This window comes from Homo sapiens, chromosome 1, assembly GCF_000001405.40.
Source record: "Homo sapiens chromosome 1, GRCh38.p14 Primary Assembly".
Classification (NCBI taxonomy): Eukaryota; Metazoa; Chordata; class Mammalia; order Primates; family Hominidae; genus Homo; species Homo sapiens.
This window is the reverse complement of record NC_000001.11, coordinates 150,951,280-150,975,517: the sequence shown is the minus strand read 5'-3', so window position 1 is coordinate 150,975,517 and position 24,238 is coordinate 150,951,280. Positions and strand designations below refer to the sequence as shown.

The following is a 24,238-nucleotide window of genomic DNA, read 5'->3' as shown; positions in this document are numbered from 1 at the left end:
CATTTTACAAAACAAAAGTTGGGGTGGCTCTTTCAGACAGGGCCGCCGGGTGTGCGCAAGTTCGGGTTTGCTCTTCCTTGCCACGGGGGTAGGTCCCGTAGCACCTAGGTGGAAAGGCCGCGGCTTTTACGGCGGGGTAGGCGAGGGTCGCCCGAGTGATCGCAGGCTCCGACTGGGTCTCGAGGGTCGGCTGCTTCGGTCTGCCCTGGAGAGGTTTTCAGCTTCGGCGCGAGGCACTTGGGCAGGATCCCCGGGCTGCACCCTCCTCCGCCCGCGCCCCGTGGGGCTGGAAGTGGGAATGTGCCCACCCTGGCGGGGACCGGGGGCCGCACAGCAGTTGGGGGTGGGTGGGGGTGGGTAGGAGTAAGGGGACAGGGACACCGCCGCTCGGAGCCCGGGACCCCGCGGCATCCAGTGCGTCTGTGTCGGTCCCAGTGGGAGACCTCCCACCCCGAAAAGAGACCGAAGTGGCGGAAGGAGCCCGCACCCGCCTCCCCAGGTCGGCGGTTTCTCTAGCGCAAGGTGACGGGCGTGGACGCGGCTGTGGGGCCGGGAGCGGAGGGTTGGGGTCTGGCCTCCCGCGCCGGGGCGAAGGGGCAGCCGCAGCGCAGAGGCCCGCCCCGCCCTCCCCTCCCGTCACGCCCAGCCTCCCGGCCCTTGGGCTGCTCGCGGCCTTTTTTTCCCGGCTGGGCTCGGGCTCAGCTCGACTGGGCTCGGCGGGCGGCGGCGGCGGCGCCGGCGGCTGGCGGAGGAGGGAGGGCGAGGGCGGGCGCGGGCCGGCGGGCGGGCGGAAGAGGGAGGAGAGGCGCGGGGAGCCAGGCCTCGGGGCCTCGGAGCAACCACCCGAGCAGACGGAGTACACGGAGCAGCGGCCCCGGCCCCGCCAACGCTGCCGCCGGGTGAGTCGGGGCCCCCGCCCGGCGCCCGAGCCCCGCGCGGGGGTGGGAAGGGGCTGCGGAAAAGTTGGGAGCCCCGGGTGCCGCTTTGTCGCGGGGCCGCGGAGGGGTCGGGCTGGGAAGGCCGCGGGGCCGGGGCGAGGAGGGAGGCGGCGCTGGCGGGGGGCGCTGCGGGCGCTCATGGCGGCGGCCGCCGGGTAAGGCGGGCGCAGCGCCTCAAGGGAGCGGCCGGGGCCGGCGGGCCTGGCGCCGCGGTGTCCGCGGCAGCGCCGCCCTGAGCCGGAGAAGCTTTCCCGGGCAACAGGTAGGGCGGAAGGTGGGGACGCGGGGGCTGCGGGCGACGGGGCCGAGCCGTGGGCTTCCCTTTGTTGGGGAGTGGAGGAGCTTGGTGACCATTGGCGCGAGAGCCTCCACCCTGGCAGCGGCCCGCGGGGTTGCCCTGGCCTGGACGCGTCCTGTGGCTTGGGTGGGAGGAGAGGGGAGGGCCCTGCCCCGTTTTCTTCCTACCGGCCCACCGTGCCCACCTCGCAGGCGAGGTCAGAGCTTCCATGTGCTTAACGGGAAACAGGAAGGAGCGGCCCGGAGCGCCTGCCCCGGCCCGGTAGGGCTAAGGCATACCGTTATGAGGTGTGGATGGCTGGCAAGGGAGCTCCTGGTGGAACTGGCTTTCTGGGCCGTAGCTTGTTAATCACTAGAGGCCCGTGGCAAGTGGGTTGACTGCAGGTGTAGAGCACTCATCTTTAGCCTGCAGTTGGAGTCTCTCCCTCCCTAAGCCTAGCTCCTGGCATCAAAACCTGGTTTCAGTCACCTGAGTTGCCAGGCCCAGGTTCAGGGGGTTCTGAGGATCGTGGCGAATGCAGTGAGCCCCTGTTCCTGGAGAAGTGAGTCCGAGCAGGCCTCCAGCAGGCAGTCACCCCCATATCTGTGCTGGGGCAGGGGTGGGTGGCGGTTGCTGCCGCATACCGGAGTCGGGATGACCGCACCGGGGTGTGAGTGGCTGCACATGTAAAGGGGCTCCTAAGGGTAAGGACTTGCCTGCAGTCCTGTCCCTGAGGACCTGGCGCTGACCATACCGTGATCTGCACAGTCTGTTCCAGAGAGGGATCCTTTTCTCCCCTGGTCCCCCACTTCCCTCACTGGGGCCTCTGGCCAGATTTTCCCCTGGGAGGAAGGGCCTCCTTTTACCCCTGTCACTGGCCATAGGCTGGCTGATCCCTCACTGTGTCCTTCAACACCGCCCCAGCTGTCTCTCAAACCCACCGGCGTCTCCCTGCCCCTGGGGCCATAGTCTCATGCAGTGTTTTGGTCCGTGGAGGCCTTTGGTGGGACTTTGCAGACAAGCTGTAGGCCAGATGAGGCTGAGGACTACTGTTCTGACTGCCTCTCACCCACCTCTTTTTTACAATCTGGCTTATTTTGAGGCCCATCCTGCAGCCTGGAGGGATAACACACCTCTCATTGGCTCCATCCATGGCTTGTAGACTTCTAGTACATGACCTGCTTCTGTTGCCTGAAAGTTTTCAACAAGGAAGACTATTCAGGACTTCTTCAGTGGAAGCAGGGAGCCGGTGGGACCTTTGTCACTCCTCCCTTGTCAACAACTCCTTTCTATTTTCCTCAGTTATTCTTCCAAACTATGAGAGCCAGTCAGACTGACCACCTGGAGTCTGAGAGAATTCCTTCCTCTCAGGCCGAAACTTCTGCCTTCTCAGCCGTTTGGATCTACAAACTCCCATGGGGATCCTCTGCTCCTTTCATCCACCTAGAGGGGTCTTGTGGGGGTGTCAGTCAGAGTTGGGGCAAAGGTTGGGGCTGGACAGAGTCCTGCTCAAGTTCCTGCTAATCTAATGCCAGTTAAATCCCTGCTCTTCTGGCCCCTCTCCAGCCTGTGCCTCAGAAAGTGGCATCTGTGCCTCCAAGGCAGGTGTGTGTGAGAGAGAGCGTAGACAGATACCATGTCTCTTCATGTGTATGGGGGAGTGAAGTCTGGGTGGAAAAGTGTTTCTAGATGTGATTTTCTCCATAAGAAGTCAAGTAACTGCCCTGAAGGCCCAGGGGGCCTGGAAAAACAGGGTTGTCTCCTTACCGTGTGTACACTTCAGCTTTTCTTGCCCCAGCCTCTTGTTTATGGGGTCTTGCTTGGATCTGTGTGCTGGTGCTAAGAGGCCTCCCCAGTACTGCCACAGGGACCCAACTCTTTGGTTCTGTGGGGATGTGTAAGTGAGGCCGGCCAGGCCCCAGCTGTCCTCCCCTCTCTTCATGTTGAGTCAGAGGTCCTGACCCTGCTGAATCTGGGGCCTCCCTGCTGGGGAGATGGGGGTAGTGCCTCTCTGCTAATGGAGGTGCAGGACCACCAGGGAGGGCTGTGGTCATGGGAAGCCTGCAACCTCAGTGTAAAAGCCCCCATTAATCTGCATTTCCCAAGTCTTCCACTCTCCCTGCTTGGAGTGGAAGAGGACAGGCGCTATCTCATCTTGGGGATGAGGAAGTTGCACTGCCCAGGTGTCTGTCCTTGACCATGCTCTAGTGCCTACTTTGCCTGCCCCCCACCCCCTGTTTTGCAGGCATGAGACATTCCTGGGCCCCAGGAGTCCAGCAGGGGCTCCACCCTCCCTCTGCGACTCCAGCCTGCCGCCTGACTAGAGAAACATCCCTGCCAGTTTTCACAGACCTGGTTGGGGATGGGATCTGAAGTCTAGGACTGCCAGGGCAACATGGTACCTTTGGCTTTACATTTCCCTGGAGAAGTTGGGCTCCAAGAGACAGCAGTCAGGTGACTGGGTCAGGCTGATTTCTCGCTTCCAATCAGGCTGAGCAAAAAAGTGGGAAGAGGGGGCCATGTGCACACATCAAAGTGTTCCGCATTGTCCCTTCTCTGTGCATTTTCTACCCTTGTCCCTTCTTTATTCAATTTTCTACAACTTTTCTCTAGGAAAAAAGTGTGTGTTTGTGTGGGGAAAGTTCCACTGTGGATAATTACATTTAATTTTGTTCAGTTCAGAAGGCTTCCATCTGTTTAATTAAATATTTATTCTGGCTGAGGTGGAGGGGGCAGGGGCAGTGTCTGGAATGTGTGTGTGTGATTTGGGGGAGGAGGAGGGGAGAAGGTGGAGCTGAAGCTCCTTTACTGGCAGTGCTGACCTCTGATTTCATCCGAGAGAGCAGTGACCAGGAGTGGGGACAAGGGGGTAAAGTCCTTGAGCTGGAATACTGACCCGTGACAGGCTGAGGGATTTCGCAAGGGCTACAGTGGTGGGTGGGGGTGGAGCGGGAGCTGTCAGAGCAGCAGCAGGACCAGCCCAGCCCAGCTGTGGTCTCAGGCTCTGTCTTCAGTCAGTGGCACCAACTAGTCTCCAGGTCACTGTGGATAACAATTTCACCACTCTCTTTTCTTCCTGTCTCTGCTTTCACTTTCTGGGCCAGCCTAAATCCCACCGCCTCATCTCCTTCCCAGGAGAACAAGGGGTGGGGAGCCTGGAAAAGACTGTCATGGTCATCCTGCTGCGGCTTCTTGCTGAGTCCTAGGATTGCCAGGTGTTTGCTGGACCCAGCATCCCTGGCTCTCCTGGACCATCTTGCCATTCCTCTCAGCTTCAAGCAGCTGCTCTTCCCTCATGAGCCACACACGTCTGACCGTTCCCTCCCTCCTCTGGGTATCCAAGTGGTCACTCCCACCATGTTGTTCGTCTTTCAGTTGGGGGAGGAGGTTTACATAGCGGCTCTTTCCTAGACTGAGAGGGTATGGGTGTTCCCCTGCAGACTAGGATTCTGTTTTCTGGATGAGCATTTATACGAAATAGCTCTGACCAGGCACCGTGGCTCATGCCTGTAATCCCAGCACTTTGGGAGGCCAAGGCTGGCAGGTTGCTTGAGCCCAGGAGTTCAAGACCAGTCTGGGCAACATGGCAAAACCCTGTTTCTACCAAAAAAAAAATTCAAAAATTAGCCAGATGTGGTGTGTGCTACTTGGTAGTGCATGCTACTCATAGCCCCAGGCACTCGGGAGGCTGAGGCAGGAGGGGAGGATGGCTTGAACCTGGGAGGTGGAGGTTGCAGTGAGCTGTGATTGTACCACTGCACTCCAGCTTGGGTGACAGAGGAAGACCCTGTCTCAAAAGAAAATAAAAGAATAGCTCTTAATTCCATCAGATGTATTGGTCCGCTCTCTTGGTTCCCTGCCCCACAATCCCTGACTCTTTGCAGCCCTACCTTCACTTTTCTTTCTGAAGAGTTATACATAGGGTCCTTCTGCCTTGTGTGTAGGGACTAGATGGCTTGGCATGGAGTGTCAACCTTGTGTGCAGTAGTTCGATGTCCAGTGATTGTGGAGCTCAGTGTCATTTGGGGACATAATTTTGCTTTACCTTGGCTTTTTTTTTTTTTTTTTTTTTTTTGAGACAGAGTCTCACTGTGTTACCCAGGCTGGAGTGCAGTGGCAAGAGCATGGCTCACTGCAACCTTCACCTCCCAGGCTCAAGTGATCCTCCCACCTCAGCCTCCTGAGTAGCTGGGATTACAGGCATGTGCCACCACATCCAGCTAATTTTTGTATTTTTTGTAGAGATGGGGTTTCACCGTGTTGCCCAGGCTGGTCTCAAACTCCTGAGCTCAAGTGATCAGCCTGCCTTGGTCTCCCAAAGTGCTGGGATTTCAGGCGTGAGCTACTGCCCAGCCTACCCTGTCTCTTAATTTTTCTTTAGGGACTTGCTACTCAGATGGGTTGTAGGTTGTAGGGAAGGGGAAGAAGGGTTTGCCTCAGCCCTGCAATGTTTTGGGGCACCCCCTGGAAGCTTTCAGCTGAGTTGGCTTGGAGGCTCGAGGAAGTGGCCAGAGTGTAGGGGGATAAGGGAGGGACTTTACTCAGATTGTTGGCTACAGCTTCTAGGGCCAGGTCCTGCCTGTCTTGCAGGTTAAGATAGCAAAATGACAAGACCCCCAAGGTTCTTCCCCCACTCCCCGAAATCAGAGGTTGTAAGGACCCCAAGTTTCTTAATTCCAGGGAATCACGTCTGCAGGTTGCTGTAGACAATAAATGCTTTTTTTTTTTTTTTGAGACAGTCTCGCTGTCACCTAGGCTAGAGTGCAATGGCGTGATTCCGGCTCACTGCAACCTCTGCCTCCTGGGTTCAAGCGATTCTCCTGCCTCAGCCTCCTGAGTAGCTGGGACTATAGGCGCCCGCCACCACACCCAGCTAGTTTTTTGTATTTTTAGTAGAGATGAGGTTTCGCCATGTTGGCCAGGCTGGTCTCGAACTCCTGACCTCGTGATCTGCCAGCCTCGGCCTCCCAAAGTGCTGGGACCACAGGCATGAGCCATCACGGCCGGCCTAACAGTAAATGTTAAAACTGGAAAGCCACCGTATTACAGATGAGGAAACTGATTTGCCCAAGGCTACATAGCCAGGATAGGGATCTAGAGTTCGACTCTCTGCCCCCTTCTCCTTTTGATACATCCTGAAAACTTTTATTCATCTATCTCTTCCTCCATAGCTACTCCCTCTTGATGCCCTCCCCTTTGCCCCTCACTCAGGATGCTCCAGACCTTGTATGATTACTTCTGGTGGGAACGTCTGTGGCTGCCTGTGAACTTGACCTGGGCCGATCTAGAAGACCGAGATGGACGTGTCTACGCCAAAGCCTCAGATCTCTATATCACGCTGCCCCTGGCCTTGCTCTTCCTCATCGTTCGATACTTCTTTGAGCTGTAAGCATGCCAGCCTACCCTCATGCCTTCCCCTGTTGCCAGTTGCAGTTTCTTGGACTTCAAGTTTGTTCCTTGCTGTTTAATTAGCCCTTGACCCTGATGTTCTGGCTACTCAGGTTCCTGCCCACTGTGCACCCCCTCCCCTGAAGGCACCATTGTCTTCCTGAAGGCTCAGCACCCCCAGGCCCTTTCCATCAATGGTTATTTGTTCTCACCCTCTACCCGCCGCCCGCCTGGCCACTAGTGAACACACAGGCAGCTTTGTCAGCTGTGGGCAGCCCTGGAGGCTAGAGAAAAGGGGGTTGCCAGGAAGCTGGGGAAACTGAGGCCAGGGTAAAGTTGCCTTAGCTTGCAGCCCTTTCCCTTCCCAGCAAGCTAGATACCTTACTCATATCCCTTCCCCAGGTACGTGGCTACACCACTGGCTGCCCTCTTGAACATAAAGGAGAAAACTCGGCTGCGGGCACCTCCCAACGCCACCTTGGAACATTTCTACCTGACCAGTGGCAAGCAGCCCAAGCAGGTATGAGCCGCATGCTGCTCTGGCTCTGGGAATCACTGAGTTTGGTGGTGGGGGGACAGGGTTTGAATGTTAGCTCTGGCAGGTGAAGAGATGGGGAAGCAGTGGTGCTGACTGAGGTTGTTACTGGGAGAGGCTGGGGATGCTGCTGAGTTCCGAAGGTAAACATAACAATGGGCTTCTTCACTGTGCCCAGGTGGAAGTAGAGCTTTTGTCCCGGCAGAGCGGGCTCTCTGGCCGCCAGGTAGAGCGTTGGTTCCGTCGCCGCCGCAACCAGGACCGGCCCAGTCTCCTCAAGAAGTTCCGAGAAGCCAGGTGGGGGAGGCTGGGGCAGAAGCTGGGTGACAAGGAATATCCTGATGTGTCTTGCTGGGAGGGATAGGCGGTGGCTATACGCAGGGAGATGTGAGGAGGTGAATTCAGTTATTAATGGTATCTTGTGAGGGTATCTGCAGGTATTTGGGGGCTGCTGGGGGACTGTGCTATCCTCTGACCTAGCCATTTCTGCTTCCTCTGCCAGCTGGAGATTCACATTTTACCTGATTGCCTTCATTGCCGGCATGGCCGTCATTGTGGATGTGAGTGGGGATTACTGGGAGGTGGGAGTAGGTTCTCTGGCAAGGTCAGGTGAGGCCATGGAATTTGGGTTCCTCCTCTTTTAACTTCTCACCATCTCTCTGCAGAAACCCTGGTTCTATGACATGAAGAAAGTTTGGGAGGGATATCCCATACAGGTATGAGTTCTGCTTCCTCATGTGGGGGTGGACTAAGACACACCCTAGTGAAGAGACGGTTTGTGGAATCCATGGCAGAGGGATTAGAGTGATGGAATGAAGAACCTCAGGGGCTAGGGGGTTTGTGGAGTGGGGACACCCTTGCGGCTGGTTGCTCTTACCTCTCTCTCCTCTCCCAGAGCACTATCCCTTCCCAGTATTGGTACTACATGATTGAACTTTCCTTCTACTGGTCCCTGCTCTTCAGCATTGCCTCTGATGTCAAGCGAAAGGTGGGTGAAGGGGTTGTGCAATTAAGCCTCAGAGCCAAAATGAGGCCCTGGGATGAACACCCTCTCCTTTGACTTCTGGGTACTCTGAATGGAGCTGTTGGTATATGGGGAACCAAAGGCAAGGGGTAAGAAGGCATAGTGAGAGCTGGGGAATAAAAAAAGGCCCTGGGGCCTGCATCATCTCTGCAGGATTTCAAGGAACAGATCATCCACCATGTGGCCACCATCATTCTCATCAGCTTTTCCTGGTTTGCCAATTACATCCGAGCTGGGACTCTAATCATGGCTCTGCATGACTCTTCCGATTACCTGCTGGAGGTCAGGCTTCCTCAAATCTAGAGACCCTGGTGCAGGTTCTTCTGTCCCTTTGGTTTTCTTTGGGAGGGAGGTGCGGGGTGGGAATTTGGAGGATGACATTCCTGGGACCAAGGAGGAGGGCACAGAGTCAGTGCTCCTAACTGGAGTGTACATATGAATGTACTCGAGGGAGTCAGGAGCCCATGATGATGGATGGGGGCTCTCTATGCAGTCAGCCAAGATGTTTAACTACGCGGGATGGAAGAACACCTGCAACAACATCTTCATCGTCTTCGCCATTGTTTTTATCATCACCCGACTGGTCATCCTGCCCTTCTGGTGAGTAGGCAGCTAGGCTACACTCCTGTTCTGAAGAAATCAGGAGCCTTGCCTTTCTTCCCCTCCTGTATCTCCCCGGTGTCTGACCTGCTCTTGTCCACGTTCTCTCTCTCCTTGAATCCTCAGGATCCTGCATTGCACCCTGGTGTACCCACTGGAGCTCTATCCTGCCTTCTTTGGCTATTACTTCTTCAATTCCATGATGGGAGTTCTACAGCTGCTGCATATCTTCTGGGCCTACCTCATTTTGCGCATGGCCCACAAGTTCATAACTGGAAAGGTGAAGCCCTGTTCCCATTGTGTAGGCCTTACTACTCTCTACAACTTCCTGAACTCCCATCTTGCCAGTAACTCTCTAAAAAACTAGTGTGGAGCCCTGGGTATAACAGGAACAAGCCCTCAGAGAGAAGCAGTACTTAGGGGTTTGAGGATCTCATGTAATAACCCTTCTTGTCCCTTTTCCACAGCTGGTAGAAGATGAACGCAGTGACCGGGAAGAAACAGAGAGCTCAGAGGGGGAGGAGGCTGCAGCTGGGGGAGGAGCAAAGAGCCGGCCCCTAGCCAATGGCCACCCCATCCTCAATAACAACCATCGTAAGAATGACTGAACCATTACTCCAGCTGCCTCCCAGATTAATGCATAAAGCCAAGGAACTACCCCGCTCCCTGCGCTATAGGGTCACTTTAAGCTCTGGGGAAAAAGGAGAAAGTGAGAGGAGAGTTCTCTGCATCCTCCCTCCTTGCTTGTCACCCAGTTGCCTTTAAACCAAATTCTAACCAGCCTATCCCCAGGTAGGGGGACGTTGGTTATATTCTGTTAGAGGGGGACGGTCGTATTTTCCTCCCTACCCGCCAAGTCATCCTTTCTACTGCTTTTGAGGCCCTCCCTCAGCTCTCTGTGGGTAGGGGTTACAATTCACATTCCTTATTCTGAGAATTTGGCCCCAGCTGTTTGCCTTTGACTCCCTGACCTCCAGAGCCAGGGTTGTGCCTTATTGTCCCATCTGTGGGCCTCATTCTGCCAAAGCTGGACCAAGGCTAACCTTTCTAAGCTCCCTAACTTGGGCCAGAAACCAAAGCTGAGCTTTTAACTTTCTCCCTCTATGACACAAATGAATTGAGGGTAGGAGGAGGGTGCACATAACCCTTACCCTACCTCTGCCAAAAAGTGGGGGCTGTACTGGGGACTGCTCGGATGATCTTTCTTAGTGCTACTTCTTTCAGCTGTCCCTGTAGCGACAGGTCTAAGATCTGACTGCCTCCTCCTTTCTCTGGCCTCTTCCCCCTTCCCTCTTCTCTTCAGCTAGGCTAGCTGGTTTGGAGTAGAATGGCAACTAATTCTAATTTTTATTTATTAAATATTTGGGGTTTTGGTTTTAAAGCCAGAATTACGGCTAGCACCTAGCATTTCAGCAGAGGGACCATTTTAGACCAAAATGTACTGTTAATGGGTTTTTTTTAAAAATTAAAAGATTAAATAAAAAATATTAAATAAAACATGGCAATAAGTGTCAGACTATTAGGAATTGAGAAGGGGGATCAACTAAATAAACGAAGAGAGTCTTTCTTATGCCTTCCTTGCAGTTATGTAATATTTTCTTTTTTAAATTTCACATGCATGTAATTTGAGCACTTTGAGGGGCCAAGGAGGGTGGATCACTAGAGGTCAGGAGTTTGAGACCAGCCTGGCCAACATGGCGAAACCCCATCTCTACTAAAAATACATCTAGCTGGGTGTGGTGGCGGGCGACTGTAATCTCAGCTACTTAGGAGGCTGAGGCAGGAGAATCACCTGAACCCGGGAGGCGGAGGCTGCAGTGAGTCGAGATTGCACCATTGCACTCCAGCCTGGGTGACAGAGCGAGAACTCCATCTAAAAAAATTCACATGCAAGAAGCAAAGGTAGACAAGGTAGAAGATGAATGACAGCAGCCCACAGGGGAGGATGGGGATAATACCTCACTGAAAGATCCAGAATTGGGAGTATCGGGCTGAGAGAGAGAAACAAAACCACAATCTTAGTTTTATCATATTGTTAAAAGACTTTCAAGAAATAATACAAACTGGAGATAGTAGATACACAGGCTCCATTCTAAGAACAAAGTCTGTTAGAAGCAGGAACACTTGGACAAATATGGGATGGGAGGGATGTCAGGCCGAGGTTAGAGTGGTGATCTCTCCCCACCCTTTAGGGCCTTTGGAGGTGGAGAAGGGATCCTGCCTGCTAGCACCACATTGGAAGGGATCATCTGGTCCAGAACCCCCATTTCTATCAACTAGGAGCTGGGGGGAGTAGCTAGCCCAGAGACTTCGGGTCAGGGTTCAACAATCAGGAAGACCCAGTTCCTGAGGAAACGACAGTTCAAGAAGGGTTGGGAAGAAGGCTGTCCTCTAAAGAAGACGTCCTCTGCATTCAATGGCCCCACAGCAACAGAGTAGCTCCTTGCCTTCCACACTGCCCACCTCGTAGTTGTAGTCCCAAGTAAGTTCTGTCCCAGCCCGGATTCTTCTGAAGAGGAAGAAAAGGATGGTGTGTGGCAAAGACAGCAGATAACCCAGGCACTTGGGGTTACTGAATATGTAGGTGGAGTTGGATCATGAATGGAGGAGGGGCCCTTAGAACTTCAGTGGTCCTTGCCCCTCCCCAGTCATCCCCTTTCCTGACTCCTTACTTGCTGGCAAAGAAGGCCACCCAGGGGAAGCGAAGATCATGGGTATCCACGAAGACATTCTGGACAAACAGGTTGGGGCTGCAACTGTGCTGTAGGTTTAAGGACAGGATCAAATAAGAACCAGGGAAACTGAACCTGGCTTTGCAGGGAGAGTGAGAGTTGGAAGAAAAATGATGCCATCTGACCCTCCCCATTATAATAGATGCTTTGAAAGAAAGCTACCTCTTTAAGATCCTTTGAGATCAAGAGTTTATAACAAGAAAAGGGCTTATAGAGTATGTTAAAAGAAATCTGAGGACCATGGGATAATCCAGCATCTAGAGGTGGGGAGAGGGGTCTCACGTTGAGGTAGCGGCCCAGGTTGCCTTCAAGCTTGGCATCAATGATGTAGCAAGACTCCTCGCCATCATAGAATTGGCGTGTGTTCTTACGAACAGGTGCGCTCTCCCCCTTGTCCACAGAGGCCATGTTGGTTGATTTAATTGCAATCCCATGGGTTGATTTAAGAGCAAAGCCTCGGGTTGATTTTACTGCCACTTGACGCTTCATTGGACCTGGACAGGAGGGAGAATGGGGTCAGGACCCATCCCAACTCATGAACAGACATTCTATCATGAATGGACATTCTACCCCTATTTCTCTCCCAACATTGCAGCTGAGAAACACCAATAAGCTGGAACTCAAAGATCCTAAGTAGCAGGTTTTTTTTTCAAGCATAATTAGATCTGCTAGACAAAGGAGCTGAGGGGAAAGAGTAAAAAAATGGAAATGAGAGAGGATGTGTCAAACAATAGTTTAGCTTGGAGTCAGAAAGCCCTCCCAGAGATGCTCCAATTCTTAGGATCTGAATTTTTACCCACTACTTCTTTAGCTTCCTTAAAAAATGCTCTATCCCAAGTTTCTTACTATTTCTTCCCACCATTCCCAAAATTTTTCCAGGCTACCAGTCATGTTCTTCTTGTCCTCAAAGTCATCCCCTTCAGAGCCAGAGGATATGGTCTGGATATCATCACTGTCAACCGCTGTAGCCGAAGTCTGACCAGCAGTGGGCTTTCGGCTGGTCCCACTTTCCCCCTCACTTTCTGTGCTGCTGGACAGTGTCAGGACATCCTGGGGAAGCAGGAGGGTAAGAAGTAAGAGAAGTAAATGGGAAGGGCTCCTTTAAGTCCTTGCTGTTACCCACGGTTTGGCAGGAAAGGGCGGTGGCAAGAGGAAGATTAGATGCTGGATGAAAGAAAATAAGGCAGGAAGTCAAGGCTAAAGAAGTAGGAGAAGACCTAACAGTAATTATAGTGAAGGACTTGATGAGGTGACAATGGCCCATTTTCCTTTATTAGACTCTGAATAAGCTTGAGGTGACTTACATCAGGGTTGGACTGAGCAGAAGCCATGAGTCTTCGGCTTTGATGCATACTAGTCTTACTAGGTGGGCGGCGAAGTCCTTCAGGCTTCACAGGAGAAGGATTGTAACCGTAATTTCGAGAGCTTTCAGTAACTCTAATGGGAGGGGAAGGAATGAAGCCAACAGGTTACTGGCTGTTTCTTAGGCTTCTAGCCTAGGTTTGAGAGAAGGCAGATTTGGAGACAGGTCAAAAAGACAGGCACTGGGCTGGACACGGTAGCTCATGGCTGTAATCCCAGCACTTTGGGAGGCTGAGGATCCCCTTTGGGAGCATCGCTTGAGCCCAGGAGTTCAAGACCAGTCTGGGAAACATGGTGAAACCCCGTGTCTACAAAAAATACAAAAACTAGCCAGGCATGGTGGTGCACACCCGTAGTCCCAGCTACTAGGGAGGCTGAGGTGGGAGAATCTCTTGAGCCTGGGAGGGGGAGGTTGCAATGAGCTGAGATTACGCCACTGCACTCCAGCCTGGGTGACAAAGCAAGACTCTGTCTCAAAACAAAACAAAACAAAAGGCACTTACACTGACATCTTGTTTCGGTCGTCAGTGTCCTGGAAAAGAACAAGTGAAGGGTTAAATGCTTTCACAGCCTCGGGTAACAAGTCCAATAATCAGACTTCAAATGACCTCCACAGATAACATCAGCCAGTGACAGGTACACATTCTAAAGTGGGGTGGGTAAACCACTCTGCAACTTGACAGAAATCCTCACTACACTCCCTGGCTGGAGCCTTTAAGCCTTCTCAGTGATGGGGCTTAATGCTCATGGAAAACACCACGAGCAGGATTACATCAACCAGGGACAGTTTCACCATCTGTAATGTGGAAAGCAGCATAATCATCAAAGAGATACTTAAAATCAATTCTTGTTTCTCTACTTTAGTAGAAGGAAACAATGATGTGAATAACTTGAAACAGCATTTAACATTAAAAAATCACTTATAAATCTTTCATTTTGTAATTAATCAGATACTTGTCCACCCTCTACCACCAGGCAAGTGGATTTTAAAATAATTTTTTTTTTTTTGAGACAGAGTCTCGTTCTGTCACCCAGGCTGGAGTGCAGTGGTGCGATCTCGGCTCACTGCACCTCCACCCTCCAGGTTCAAGCGATTCTCCTGCCTCAGCCTCCCAAGTAGCTGGAAATACAGGCATGCACCACCACGCCCGGCTAATTTTTGTATTTTTTAGTAGAGACGGGGTTTCACCATGTTGGCCAGGATGGTCTCCAACTCCTGAACTTCAAGTTATCCACCTGCCTCGGCCTCCCAAAGTGTTGGGATTACAGGTGTGAGCCACTGTGCCCGGTCAATAATTTGGTTCTTTAAACAAACACTAGGAATGTGCTAGTTAGGGGGAGAGATAACGAGGTGGCCACAGAAATATCCATCAAGTAGAATAATCTACATGCAAAGACTCATGGTGAGACTGCATTGTTACTGCACCAAAGTTAAAGCCATAGCTCTCAGAGTGTTCTGCCACTGCTTACCTCTTTCTTGGCCTGTTTGATGTCTCCCTCATCCTTGATGCCTAGTCCTGAGGTGGAGGCCTTCTCAGCCTCCATTCGGCTTCCCCCAGCCCGGCCCTCCCCACCTTCATTAGTCTTGAAGGATGAATGGCTATCAGAGTCAGCAAAACCACCTTCACTGACACTATTGCAGCTCAACCATGAGGCCACCTTGTTCTTGGGTGTCTCTTCGGAGGAAGGTGGATTGCAGCCACCTACAGGGATTGAGGGAGGAACAGGAATATGTGGGGGTCCAAGATCTGGGGGGTGGGAGTCCTTGGAAGTTGTCTCAGAGAGTCCGTTCTCTTTCTGGCCCCGGGTCTGCCTCCGGGTAGCATAGCTCCGCCACACTGAACTGGTGCTGAAGTCCTCATCCTTACAGAAGTTATCATCTGAGCTATCATCATTGGACTCTTCAGGGTCCTCTGTACCGCTGTTGCCATCTTCCTGGTCCTTCAAGTCTACACCACTGCTGTCAGAGGAACAGGGGGCATCACTCTCATATCCTTCTTTGAAGTTCTCCACGCTCTCGATATGGTCCAGATTTGCAAAGTACTCATCACCCATTTCCAGACCCTCCTTGTCTGCAAAGTCATCTGTCAGGATTTTGCCTGAGAATGAAGAGAATTAAAGGCCTTCTAGGGTTATGGGGACCTATTAGTTTTTTTTTTTGTTTGCTTTTTTTTTTTTTTTTTTCCAGATGGAGTCTTGCTCTGTCACCCAGGCTGGAGTGCAGTGGCGCGATCTCGGCTCACTGCAACCTCTGCCTCCCAGGTTCAAGTGATTCTCCTGCCTTAGCCTCCTGAGTAGATAGGACTACAGGTGCACGCCACCATGCCTGGCTAATTTTTTTTGTATTTTTGGTAGAGATGGCGTTTCACCATGTTGGCCAGGTTGGTCTCGAACTCCTGACCTCAGGTGATCTGCCCGCCTCAGCCTCCCACAGTGTTGGGATTACAGGTGTTAGCCACCGCACCCGGCCACGGGGACCTATTAGAAAGAATAAGGATTATTCCATCAATACCCGCTCTACCAGCATATAGAGTCAAAAAGCCTCCATTCTGGTCTCTCATTTCTGTTTTTTTTTTTGTTTTGTTTTTGAGACAGAGTTTCGCTTTTGTCACCCAGGCTGGAGTGCAGTGGCATGATCTCGGCTCACTGCAATCTCTGCCTCAAGGGTTCAAGTGATTCTCCTGCCTCAGCCTCCCAAGTAGCTGGGATTACAGGCATCCACCACCACACCTGGCTAATTTTTGTATTTTTAGTAGAGATGGGGTTTCAACTATGTTGGCCAGGCTGGTCTCCAACTCCTGACCTCAGGTGATCCACCCACTTCGGCCTCCCAAAGTTTTGGGATTACAGGCATGAGCCACCACGCCGGCCCAGTGTTTCTCTTTGATAATACCTCCCTTTGTATCTTAACTATGAAAGTATGGAGAACTTACTGTCATTTTAAATCTTGCCCTTTCTGTCTTTCCATTTCTTCTACTTTATTGAAACAGAGTACTGGGCTATGCTAAAAGATCTCTGAGTGGAGTGACATGGGAGAAAATGATACACTGGACTCTATAATCATGTCTGTTCTCTGAAATATCACCATGTCCAAAATTTCATCCCTTTTCATTCTCTTATTTGTGAAACACTTGTGTCCCTCTCTGGTCTAGCTAGACAGGTACATCACTCATCACGTTCTTTGTAGAAGTCCCTGGCCTCCTCTTACTCCAGTTCACATGTCAAGCACTTTCTTCTTATGTTCAATTTGTCTCTGGTTCAATTCCCTACCATGTCCCAGTCTCAGGAAACAACCCTTATATTTTATCACCAACCTGCATAAATACAAACAAAAGAGCCTTTGGCAATGTCATCCAAGCAGCGGATACCCCAGCCCTTGTTCTGTGTCTTGAATAGCTGTAGCCGAACTTGTAGTCCATGTTGCACCAACCGGTTTGTGCACATGTTTGGGTCACATTTGCAGCGTTTGTTACACTCATATACCCTGGGAGGAGGTTAGAATAAAATCAATCACGGTATGATCACTAGAGCACAAAAAAATCCATAAAACTATTATAATTCTTAAGCTATCATCATTTATAATGTGTTGTGGATAAAGATTAAAAATTAGGTAATGATCTAAGTGAGTGGATCTATTGAACCATCTATGCTCTTTGATTCATTTGGAAATGTAGCCCAAGGAAAAAATTTAGAGGGCGGAGAAATATTTATAAAGATGTCTATAGCAAGACAGCTCATAAAAGTGAATGCTAGAGTGCCTAACACCTGGAGAAAAGCTAAGTAAACTATAATGGGAATACAGATTACAGAGCCATTAAAATAAGCACTATATGGACGGTCAATTTGTAGAAATAGATGCACAAAATAAAGACATGTGAGAAATTCCTGGTGAGGTTTCTTACTAACAACAGCAAAAATAATAATAATAATAAAAATAAATAAATGTGAGAAAAACAGAGGCCAACATAACAGATACGAAAGGGAATAAAGAGATAGGAGGAACTGTGACTAATGTTCATGGTAAAGTTGATTTTCATTCTTTCATTCAGTAAACAATTATTAAACACCAAGAGCTCTACTAAACACTGGAAACATAACAATGAAAAAGATCGTGCTGGGCGTGGTGGCTCATGCCTATAATCCCAGCACTTTGGGAGGCCAAGGTGGGTGGATCACGAGGTCAGGAGAGTGAGACCATCCTGGCTAACACAGTAAAACCCCGTCTCTAATAAAAATTAAAAAATTAGCCGGGTGTGGTGGCATGCATCTGTAGTCCCAGCTACTTGGGAGGCTGAGGTAGGAGAATTCCTTGAACCCAGGAGGCGGAGGTTGCAGTGAGCCAAAATCAAGCCACTGCACTCCAATCTGGGCGACAGGGTGAGACTCTGTCACAAAAAAAAAAAAAAAGAAAAAAGAAAAAAAAGAAAAAAAAAAAGGTCATAATTTCTACCCTCAGGGAGCTCTTTTTTTTTTTTTTGGAGACAGAGTTTCGCTCTCATTGCCCAGGCTGGAGTGCAATGGCGCAATCTCAGCTCACAACCTCCACCTCCCGTGTTCAAGTGATTCTCCTGCCTCAGCCTCCCAAGTAGCTGAGATTACAGGCACGCGCCACCGTGCCTTGCTAATTTTGTATTTTTAGTAGAGATGGAGTTTATCCATGTTGATCAGGCTGGTCTCGAATTCCCGACCTCATGTGATCCGCCTGCCTTAGCGAACCAAAGGGCTGGGAGTACAGGTGTGAGCCACCGTGCCCAGCCCAGGGGAGCTCATATTCTATCTAATTTAAGAATTTGGGCCAGGCGCAGTGGCTCATGCCTGTAATCCCAGCTACTGAGGATGCTGAGGTGAGAAGATCACTTGAGCTCAGGAGTTCGAGGTTTCAGTGAGCTATGATCATACCACTGCGCTCCAGCCTGAATGACAAAGCAAGTCCACCCCATCTCTGAAAAAGAAAAAAATTTTAATTATTTTTAAACAACCATTAAAGGTAATCAGAGGGATCTAGCACATACCAACATTAAAGGAAGATAACACAGTTATACTAAGAAAACTAATTGTTTCAGGTAACAATGTTTTTGCTCTATTTGCCCAGTGTTAGAATTTTACTTATTTTCTTGGTATGTAAAATCAATGGAAGAAATTTACTTTGGAAATGTATCAACAGCTCAGTTAGTTCACGATTTTAGTCATATCCTCTCTCCAGATAAAGATGGTAAGAGCAGCTTCTAGTTACTAAGCATATACTTTTGTGTTTGGCATTGTGTGAATGCCTTATATATACATATTCTATCCTTAAAGCTGCCCTAATACAGGTGGTGTTTTTTCTTTTTGAGACACAGTCTCGCTTTGTCGCCCAACCTCCGCTTCCTGGGTTCAAGCGATTCTCCTGCCTCAGCCTCCCAAGTAGCTGGGATTATAGGTGCATGCCATCATACCCTGCTAATTTTTGTATTGGAGACAGGGTTTTACCATGTTGGCCAGGCTGGTCTTGAACTCCTGACCTCAGGTGATCCACCTGCTTCGACCTCCCATTTTTTTTTTTTTTGAGTCATGGTCTTGCTCTGTCACCCAGACCATAGTGCAGCGGCACAAACACAGCTCACTGCAGCCTTGACCTCCTGGGCTCAAGTGATCCTCCTGCCTCAGTCTCCTAAGTAGCTGGGACCACAGCTGCATGCCACATGCCCAGCTAATTTTTAAAACTTTTTTTGTAGAGACAAGGTCTCATCACATTGCCCAGGCAAGTCTGGAACTACTGAACTCAAGCCATCCCCCCACCACGGCCTCCCAAAGTGCTGGGATTACAGGTGTGAGCCACCATGTCTAGCTTTTTTTTCTAACTTTAAAAAAGATTATTTCCCATGTCGGTAATCCCAGCACTTTGGGAGCAAGACTCCATAGCAAAAAAAAAAAAGAGATTATTTCCCTGGTGGTCTAGTGGGTAGGGGGAAATAAAAGATTATTGAAACGTAATATACACAGAGGAAAGTACACGTAAGTCTATACAGATCAATGAATTTTACAAACTCAGCATACCATGTAACCTGCACCAGATCAAGAAACAACTTTGTTAGGTCCCTTAAAACCCCACTGGGGACATGGGGGTGTTTATGTTAATATCCTCTGTTTACAGCTGATCAAAAAAGATCAGCTCAGTAGGGGCAGGGCTGGAATTTGAACTCAGGTGTCATTATTACCACATGAAACCTTTACAGTAGCTATACTATCATTCATTCATTCCACAAAATTTAAGTGGTTACTTTTTTTTTTTTTTTTGAGGCGGAGTCTCACTCTATTGCCTAGGCCGGAGTGCAGTGGTGGGATCTTGGCTCACTGCAACCTCCACCTCGCGGGTTCAAGTGATTCTCCTGCCTCAGCCTCTGGAGTAGCTGGGATTACAGGCGCCTGCCACCGCACATGGCTAATTTTTGTATTTTTAGTAGAGACGGGGTTTCAACATCTTGGCCAGGCTGATCTTGAATTCCTGACCTCGTAATCCACCTGTCTCGGCCTCCCAAAGTGCTGGGATTACAGGCGTGAGCCACTGCGCTTGGCTTTTTTTTTTTTTTTGAGACGAAGTCTCCTTCTGTCGCCCAGGCTGGAGTGCAATGGTGCAATCTCGGCTCACTGCAACCTCTGCCTCCTGGGTTCAACCAATTCTCCCATCTCAGCCTCCTGAGTAGCTAGCACTACAGGCATGTGCCACCACGCCTGGCTAATTTTTTATACTTTATTAGTAGAGACAGGGTTTCACCATGTTGGCTAGGCTGGTCTCGAACTCCTGACCTCAAGTGATCTGCCCGCCTTGGCCTCCCAAAGTGCTGGGATTACAGGCATCAGCCACTGCACCTGGCCTAAGTGATTACTATGTGCCAGGCATTGGGTAAACTGGTGATACAATGGTTAGCAAGACAAAGAGACAGATAAGATCCTTGCCCTCATGAAGGAGCTTATATAATAGAAAAAAAGAAAAACAAGTCAACAAAAGTTGTCATAAATGCTATAAAGAACACAAACATGGTGCTCAATGAGAGAATTAAGGGAGTAAAATGACCTAGTTTTAAAGTGGTCAGGGAAGGTCTCTCTGAGGAGGTGACTTTACAGCTGAAAGCTCAAGGTTAAAGAAGATAGCCACACAAAGAAAAGTGGAAGGATGCCAAGAAGAAGGCACAGCATGTGCAAGTCTCCAGAGGCAGGCTGGAAAACACTGGTTGAACTGGATCCAGGAACTGAAAAATATCAGTGTGGTTGGAATGACTTTGGAGGGAGACAGGAAAGGGCCAAATATATAACCTAAGGTTAAGAGTCAGAATAAAATCCAAACAGCAGAGGGACTATATTATAGAGTTAAGCAGGGGAGTGATATATTATTTGTGATTATTTGAAAATATTTTTATGAAACATTTCAAACGTGTAAAAAAGATATGAACACTCATGTACCACCCAGCATTATCAAATCTAAACGCTATTGTTAGATTCAAAATTTTGTTAATAATTAAAACATACATGATACAGCAATGCAACTAAACAACTGTCTATTCCTTTGTTTAGTTTTTCAATGTTATCAGTACAAATTCATCCTATGATCTCCCCAGTAGTCTCGATCTCCTCTGAATGTATTCAGGCACCTCAGGTTTTCTGTTAAACCAATTTTCCTGAAGAAGTCGCTCCTACAGCATCTGACCTGCTCCTGCAGTGGCTCTTCTCTATGCCTAGTACACAGCTGTCAGCCTGGAAGCCTCTTTCACTGCACTGTCACCTGTCTTCCCCTTTCCTGCCTTTCCCTCTCATTTTTGCAAATATTTCCAGAAACTTTCTGAGAAGGGGAATGATGAAAAACTCTGAGGTACTGCATGTCTAAAAAAATGTATTTAGCCTACTGTAACACCAAATTGATAGTTTGCCCGAGTTTAAAATTCCAGGTTGGAAATAATTTTCCCTTAGAATTCTGAACAGATTCTCCAATTGCTATCTAGCTTCTAGTGCTACTTTCAGGGAAGGCTGAAGTCATTTCAAGTCTATTTTTTAACGTGTTCTATTTCTCTTCTCTAGAAGCTTTTAGGATTTTTTTTTCCCTCAGTGTTCTGACATTTTATGATAATGTCTCTTAATGGGAACCTACCTTTATCCTTCATTATGTTGGGACCTAACTGGCCCTTTCAATTCAGAAACAAAGATCCTTCAATTATGGGACACTTTCTGAATTATTTCACTGATGCTTTTCTCCTCTGTTCTGTTAATTATGTATTCTGATCACTAGGTTTATTAGTTCACGTGTTTATATATACCAGTTTACCATGCTATACCCCACTCTTTTGTTGTCCTCCTCTTGTTTTAGAGATAAGAGTCATGCTCTGTCACCCCAGGCTAGAGTGTAGTGGTGTGATCATAGCTCACTGCAGCCTTGAACTACTGGGCTCAAGTGATCTTTCTGCCTCTGCCTCTCAAGTAGCTGGGACTACAGGCATGCATCTACCATGCCCGGCTAATTTTTTAAAAAATAATTTAGGCTGGGCGCGGTGGCTCACGCCTGTAATCCCAGCACTTTGGGAGGCTGAGGCAGACGGATCATGAGGTCAGGAGATAGAGACCATCCTGGCTAACATGGTGAAACCCTGTCTCTACTAAAAATACAAAAAAGTAGTCAGGCGTGGTGGTGGGCGACTGTAGTCCCAGCTTCTCGGGAGGCTGAGGCAGGAGAATGGCGTGAACCCGGAAGGCGGAGCTTGCAGTGAGCTGAGATCACGCCACTGCACTCCAGCCTGGGCGACAGAGCAAGACTCCATCTAAAAAAAAAAAAAATTTTTTTTTTAATTTTTAAATCATTTTTTTTGAGACGGAGTCTTGTTGTGTTGTCCAGACTGGAGTGCAGTGGTGCAATCTCAGCTTACTGTAATCTCTGCCTCCCAGCTTCAAGCGATTCTCTTGCCTCAGCCTCCCAAATAGCTGAGATTACAGGCGTGCACAATCACGCCTGGCTAATTTTTGTATTTTTATTACAGATGGGGTTTCACCATGTTGGCCAGGCTGTTCTTGAACTCCTGACCTCAGGTGATCCACCCACCTTGGCCTCCCAAAGTGTTGGGATTACAGGCATGAGCCACCGCGCATGGCCAACAATTTTTTTTTTTTTTTGAGATAGAATTTTGCTTTTCTTGCCCAGGCTGGAGTGCAATGGTGCGGTCTTGGCTCACTGCAACCTCCACCTCCTGGGTCCAAGTGATTCTCCTGTCTCAGCCTCCCAAGTAGCTGGGATTACAGGTGCTCGCCACCATCCCTGGCAAGTTTTTTGTATTTTTAGTAGAGATGGGGTTTCACCATATTGGCCAGGCTGGTCTTGAACTCCTGACCTCAAGTGATCTGCCTGCCTCAGCCTCGAAAAGTGCTGGGATTACAGGCGTGAGCCACCACGCCCAGCCCCAACAATTTTTTTTTAGACACAGGGTCTTACTATGTTGCCCAGTCTGGTCTCAAACTCCAGGCCTCAAGTAATCTTTCGGCCTCACCCTCCTCAGTAGCTGTCCTCAACCTCATGCTGGTTCCACCTCCTCTGCTCAACCTTTAAATGTTGGGGCACCCAGGGCTTACTCCTGAGCCGCCTTCTCTATTATCAACATTGTCTCTAGGTGAACTTATTCAGGCTTTAAATACTCCTGTGCTGATGATTCCTAAATTTTTATATCCCACTCTCTCCAGAAATCCCAGTGTCTTCTTGACATTTCTACTTGGATTGCCTGACAGGCATTTCAAACTTTTTGTTTTGTTTTGTTTTCTGAGACTGAGTTTCGCTCTTGTTGCCCAGGCTGGAGTGCAATGGTGCGATCTTAGCTCACCACAACCTCCGCCTCCCAGATTCAAGCAATTCTCCTGCCTCAGCCTCCCGAGTAGCTGAGATTACAGGCATGCGCCACCATGCCCGGCTAATTTTTTTTTTTTGTATTTTTAGTAGAGACGGGATTTCTCCATGTTGGTCAAGGCTGGTCTTGAACTCCCGACCTCAGGTGATCCGCCCGCCTCAGCCTCCCAAAGTGCTGGGATTACAGGCGTGAGCCACTGCGCCCGGCGGCATTTCAAACTTAACATGGCCAAAACAAAAACTGAATTTCACTCAAACCTACTACTCCTTCGGTCTTCCATCTCAGTAAAAAGCACCAACAACCACTAAGATGCTCAAGCCAAAAATTTAGGAATTGTCCTTGATTCTACTCTTTCCCCCCACTCCATAATCTATCCAATTCTGTAGCTCTACCTATTAATACAGCCCAAATCTATCCTTCTTACCTCTACTATCACCTCCATTCTATTGCAAGTCATAGCTGCAACAATGTCTCTCTCTGCTGTACTCCTATAACGATCTCCTAATTGGTCTTCCAAAATCTACTTTTGCCATCCTAAGACCTATGATCTACAAAGAAGCCAGAGTAATCTGAAAAAGGCAGGTCACATCACTTGGCAGCTTAAAATCCTGTAAGAGCACCATGAATTTGATTCTAACTTTTCTTTTTTTTTTTTTAAGGCAGAGTCTCGCTCTTGTCACCCAGGCTGAAGTGCAGTGGCATGATCTTGGCTCACTGCAACCTCTGCCTCCTGGATTCAAGCGATTCTCCTGCCTCAGCCTCCCAAGTAGTTGGGACTGCAGGCACCCGCCACCACCCCCGGCTAATTTTTGTATTTTTAGTAGAGACAGGGTTTCACCAGGTTGGCCAGGCTGGTCTCAAACTCCTGACCTCAGGTGATCCACCCACCTTGGCCTCCGAAAGTGCTGGGATTACAGGTGTGAGCCACTGTGCCAGCCTGATTCTAACTTTTTTCATTCTGATTTACAAAGCCCTATGTAATCAGGTCCCTGCCTACTTCTCCTCTCTGAACACATTTCACTTACAAGTGTAAATCACAATCTGTTAAGACATTCATTTAGCTATGAAATTAAGATAATCTTTTTTTGCAACAGAAAATTGCTAGATACTATTCAATCATTCTATGTCTTCATTTCAAGGAAGGTCCAAGAAAAAAAATGTGTTTTGGAAGTCATGAAATAAGATCTAATTAATAAAATGCCTCATCTGGTATTCTATTTTTGGTTCCAATTTTTAGATTTCTGATGATTTCTATAAGCACAGAAAAACAAGAACATGCTCCTCAGTCTCTCTGAGGTACTGTGCCATTCCTTGACCACTTACCCTGTGGGTAGACACTCTTCTAGTCTCTTGTACTGGTAGCCAGAGTTAGGGTTGATTTGGCCTCCTGGGGTACAGGCTGTAGCCTGGATAGTTAGTTGATGGCAGGCACACTTGGACCTATATGACAGAGGGAAATAAAGGAAAGGAGCGGGGGGATCAGAGAACAAAAATAACACAATACACATGTACCCAAGGTTGCTCA

At 49.3% G+C, this 24,238-nt stretch overlaps 2 protein-coding genes across 18 annotated transcripts in view, besides 9 other annotated features; one reads left to right on the top strand and one right to left on the bottom strand.

The window, feature by feature from the left end:
* Positions 379-818: a silencer, noted in NCBI's record as "silent region_1308". NCBI's record gives its function as "represses an Ori minimal core promoter by ATAC-STARR-seq in GM12878 lymphoblastoid cells {active_cell/tissue: GM12878}" and the evidence as "EXISTENCE:reporter gene assay evidence [ECO:0000049][PMID:35858748]".
* Positions 683-10,332, top strand: CERS2 (ceramide synthase 2). 4 transcript variants are annotated; one of them, NM_022075.5, is made up of 11 exons: positions 683-899; positions 6,427-6,600; positions 7,006-7,123; positions 7,317-7,435; positions 7,641-7,698; positions 7,804-7,854; positions 8,034-8,126; positions 8,316-8,444; positions 8,656-8,762; positions 8,889-9,042; positions 9,230-10,332. In NM_022075.5, the coding sequence occupies exons 2-11, from the start codon at positions 6,428-6,430 to the stop codon at positions 9,368-9,370; spliced, it is 1,143 nt and encodes a 380-aa protein (NP_071358.1). In that variant the 5' UTR covers positions 683-899; position 6,427; the 3' UTR covers positions 9,371-10,332. The 4 variants fall into 4 exon arrangements, with proteins under 4 accessions (NP_071358.1, NP_859530.1, XP_011507754.1 ...); NM_181746.4 differs by having other exon boundaries at positions 6,387-6,600; XM_011509452.4 differs by lacking the exon at positions 683-899 and adding an exon at positions 1,064-1,200.
* Positions 839-1,328: a silencer, noted in NCBI's record as "silent region_1307". NCBI's record gives its function as "represses an Ori minimal core promoter by ATAC-STARR-seq in GM12878 lymphoblastoid cells {active_cell/tissue: GM12878}" and the evidence as "EXISTENCE:reporter gene assay evidence [ECO:0000049][PMID:35858748]".
* Positions 1,432-1,576: an enhancer, noted in NCBI's record as "145 bp 1:150946490 sequence used in MPRA reporter constructs". NCBI's record gives its function as "activates a minimal TATA-containing promoter with rs6677420 allelic activity by MPRAs in C283T melanocytes {active_cell/tissue: C283T}" and the evidence as "EXISTENCE:reporter gene assay evidence [ECO:0000049][PMID:36423637]".
* Position 1,504: a transcriptional cis regulatory region, noted in NCBI's record as "rs6677420 or 1:150946490 MPRA-significant variant associated with a GWAS melanoma risk locus at 1q21.3". NCBI's record gives its function as "allelic transcriptional activity by MPRAs in C283T melanocytes {active_cell/tissue: C283T}" and the evidence as "EXISTENCE:reporter gene assay evidence [ECO:0000049][PMID:36423637]".
* Positions 1,534-2,465: an enhancer, noted in NCBI's record as "H3K27ac-H3K4me1 hESC enhancer chr1:150945529-150946460 (GRCh37/hg19 assembly coordinates)". NCBI's record gives its function as "activates a minimal SCP1, AML or CMV promoter by ChIP-STARR-seq in naive H9 embryonic stem cells {active_cell/tissue: H9 hESC(naive)}" and the evidence as "EXISTENCE:reporter gene assay evidence [ECO:0000049][PMID:30033119]".
* Positions 9,956-10,100: an enhancer, noted in NCBI's record as "145 bp 1:150937964 sequence used in MPRA reporter constructs". NCBI's record gives its function as "activates a minimal TATA-containing promoter with rs3835665 allelic activity by MPRAs in C283T melanocytes and UACC903 melanoma cells {active_cell/tissue: C283T | UACC903}" and the evidence as "EXISTENCE:reporter gene assay evidence [ECO:0000049][PMID:36423637]".
* Position 10,029: a transcriptional cis regulatory region, noted in NCBI's record as "rs3835665 or 1:150937964 MPRA-significant variant associated with a GWAS melanoma risk locus at 1q21.3". NCBI's record gives its function as "allelic transcriptional activity by MPRAs in C283T melanocytes and UACC903 melanoma cells {active_cell/tissue: C283T | UACC903}" and the evidence as "EXISTENCE:reporter gene assay evidence [ECO:0000049][PMID:36423637]".
* Positions 10,593-10,737: an enhancer, noted in NCBI's record as "145 bp 1:150937329 sequence used in MPRA reporter constructs". NCBI's record gives its function as "activates a minimal TATA-containing promoter with rs4451553 allelic activity by MPRAs in UACC903 melanoma cells {active_cell/tissue: UACC903}" and the evidence as "EXISTENCE:reporter gene assay evidence [ECO:0000049][PMID:36423637]".
* Position 10,665: a transcriptional cis regulatory region, noted in NCBI's record as "rs4451553 or 1:150937329 MPRA-significant variant associated with a GWAS melanoma risk locus at 1q21.3". NCBI's record gives its function as "allelic transcriptional activity by MPRAs in UACC903 melanoma cells {active_cell/tissue: UACC903}" and the evidence as "EXISTENCE:reporter gene assay evidence [ECO:0000049][PMID:36423637]".
* The window catches only part of SETDB1 (SET domain bifurcated histone lysine methyltransferase 1), a 38,475-nt gene continuing 25,017 nt past the window's right edge, over positions 10,781-24,238 (bottom strand). For 12 of the 14 annotated variants that reach the window (NR_172060.1, NM_001366417.1, NM_001393960.1 and 9 more), the window contains 9 exons: positions 24,037-24,153; positions 16,171-16,340; positions 14,327-14,955; positions 13,360-13,388; positions 12,799-12,931; positions 12,379-12,544; positions 11,777-11,988; positions 11,435-11,523; positions 10,781-11,271 (listed from right to left, as the gene is read on the bottom strand). Coding sequence is in view for 13 of the 14 variants with exons in the window: in NM_001366417.1 (NP_001353346.1) it covers positions 11,154-11,271; positions 11,435-11,523; positions 11,777-11,988; positions 12,379-12,544; positions 12,799-12,931; positions 13,360-13,388; positions 14,327-14,955; positions 16,171-16,340; positions 24,037-24,153 (1,663 nt within the window). In the remaining variant the exon portion in view is untranslated. The remainder of the gene's footprint in view (positions 11,272-11,434; positions 11,524-11,776; positions 11,989-12,378; positions 12,545-12,798; positions 12,932-13,359; positions 13,389-14,326; positions 14,956-16,170; positions 16,341-24,036; positions 24,154-24,238) is intronic. The other 2 variants (NM_001393961.1, NM_012432.4) reach the window with 1 other exon arrangement.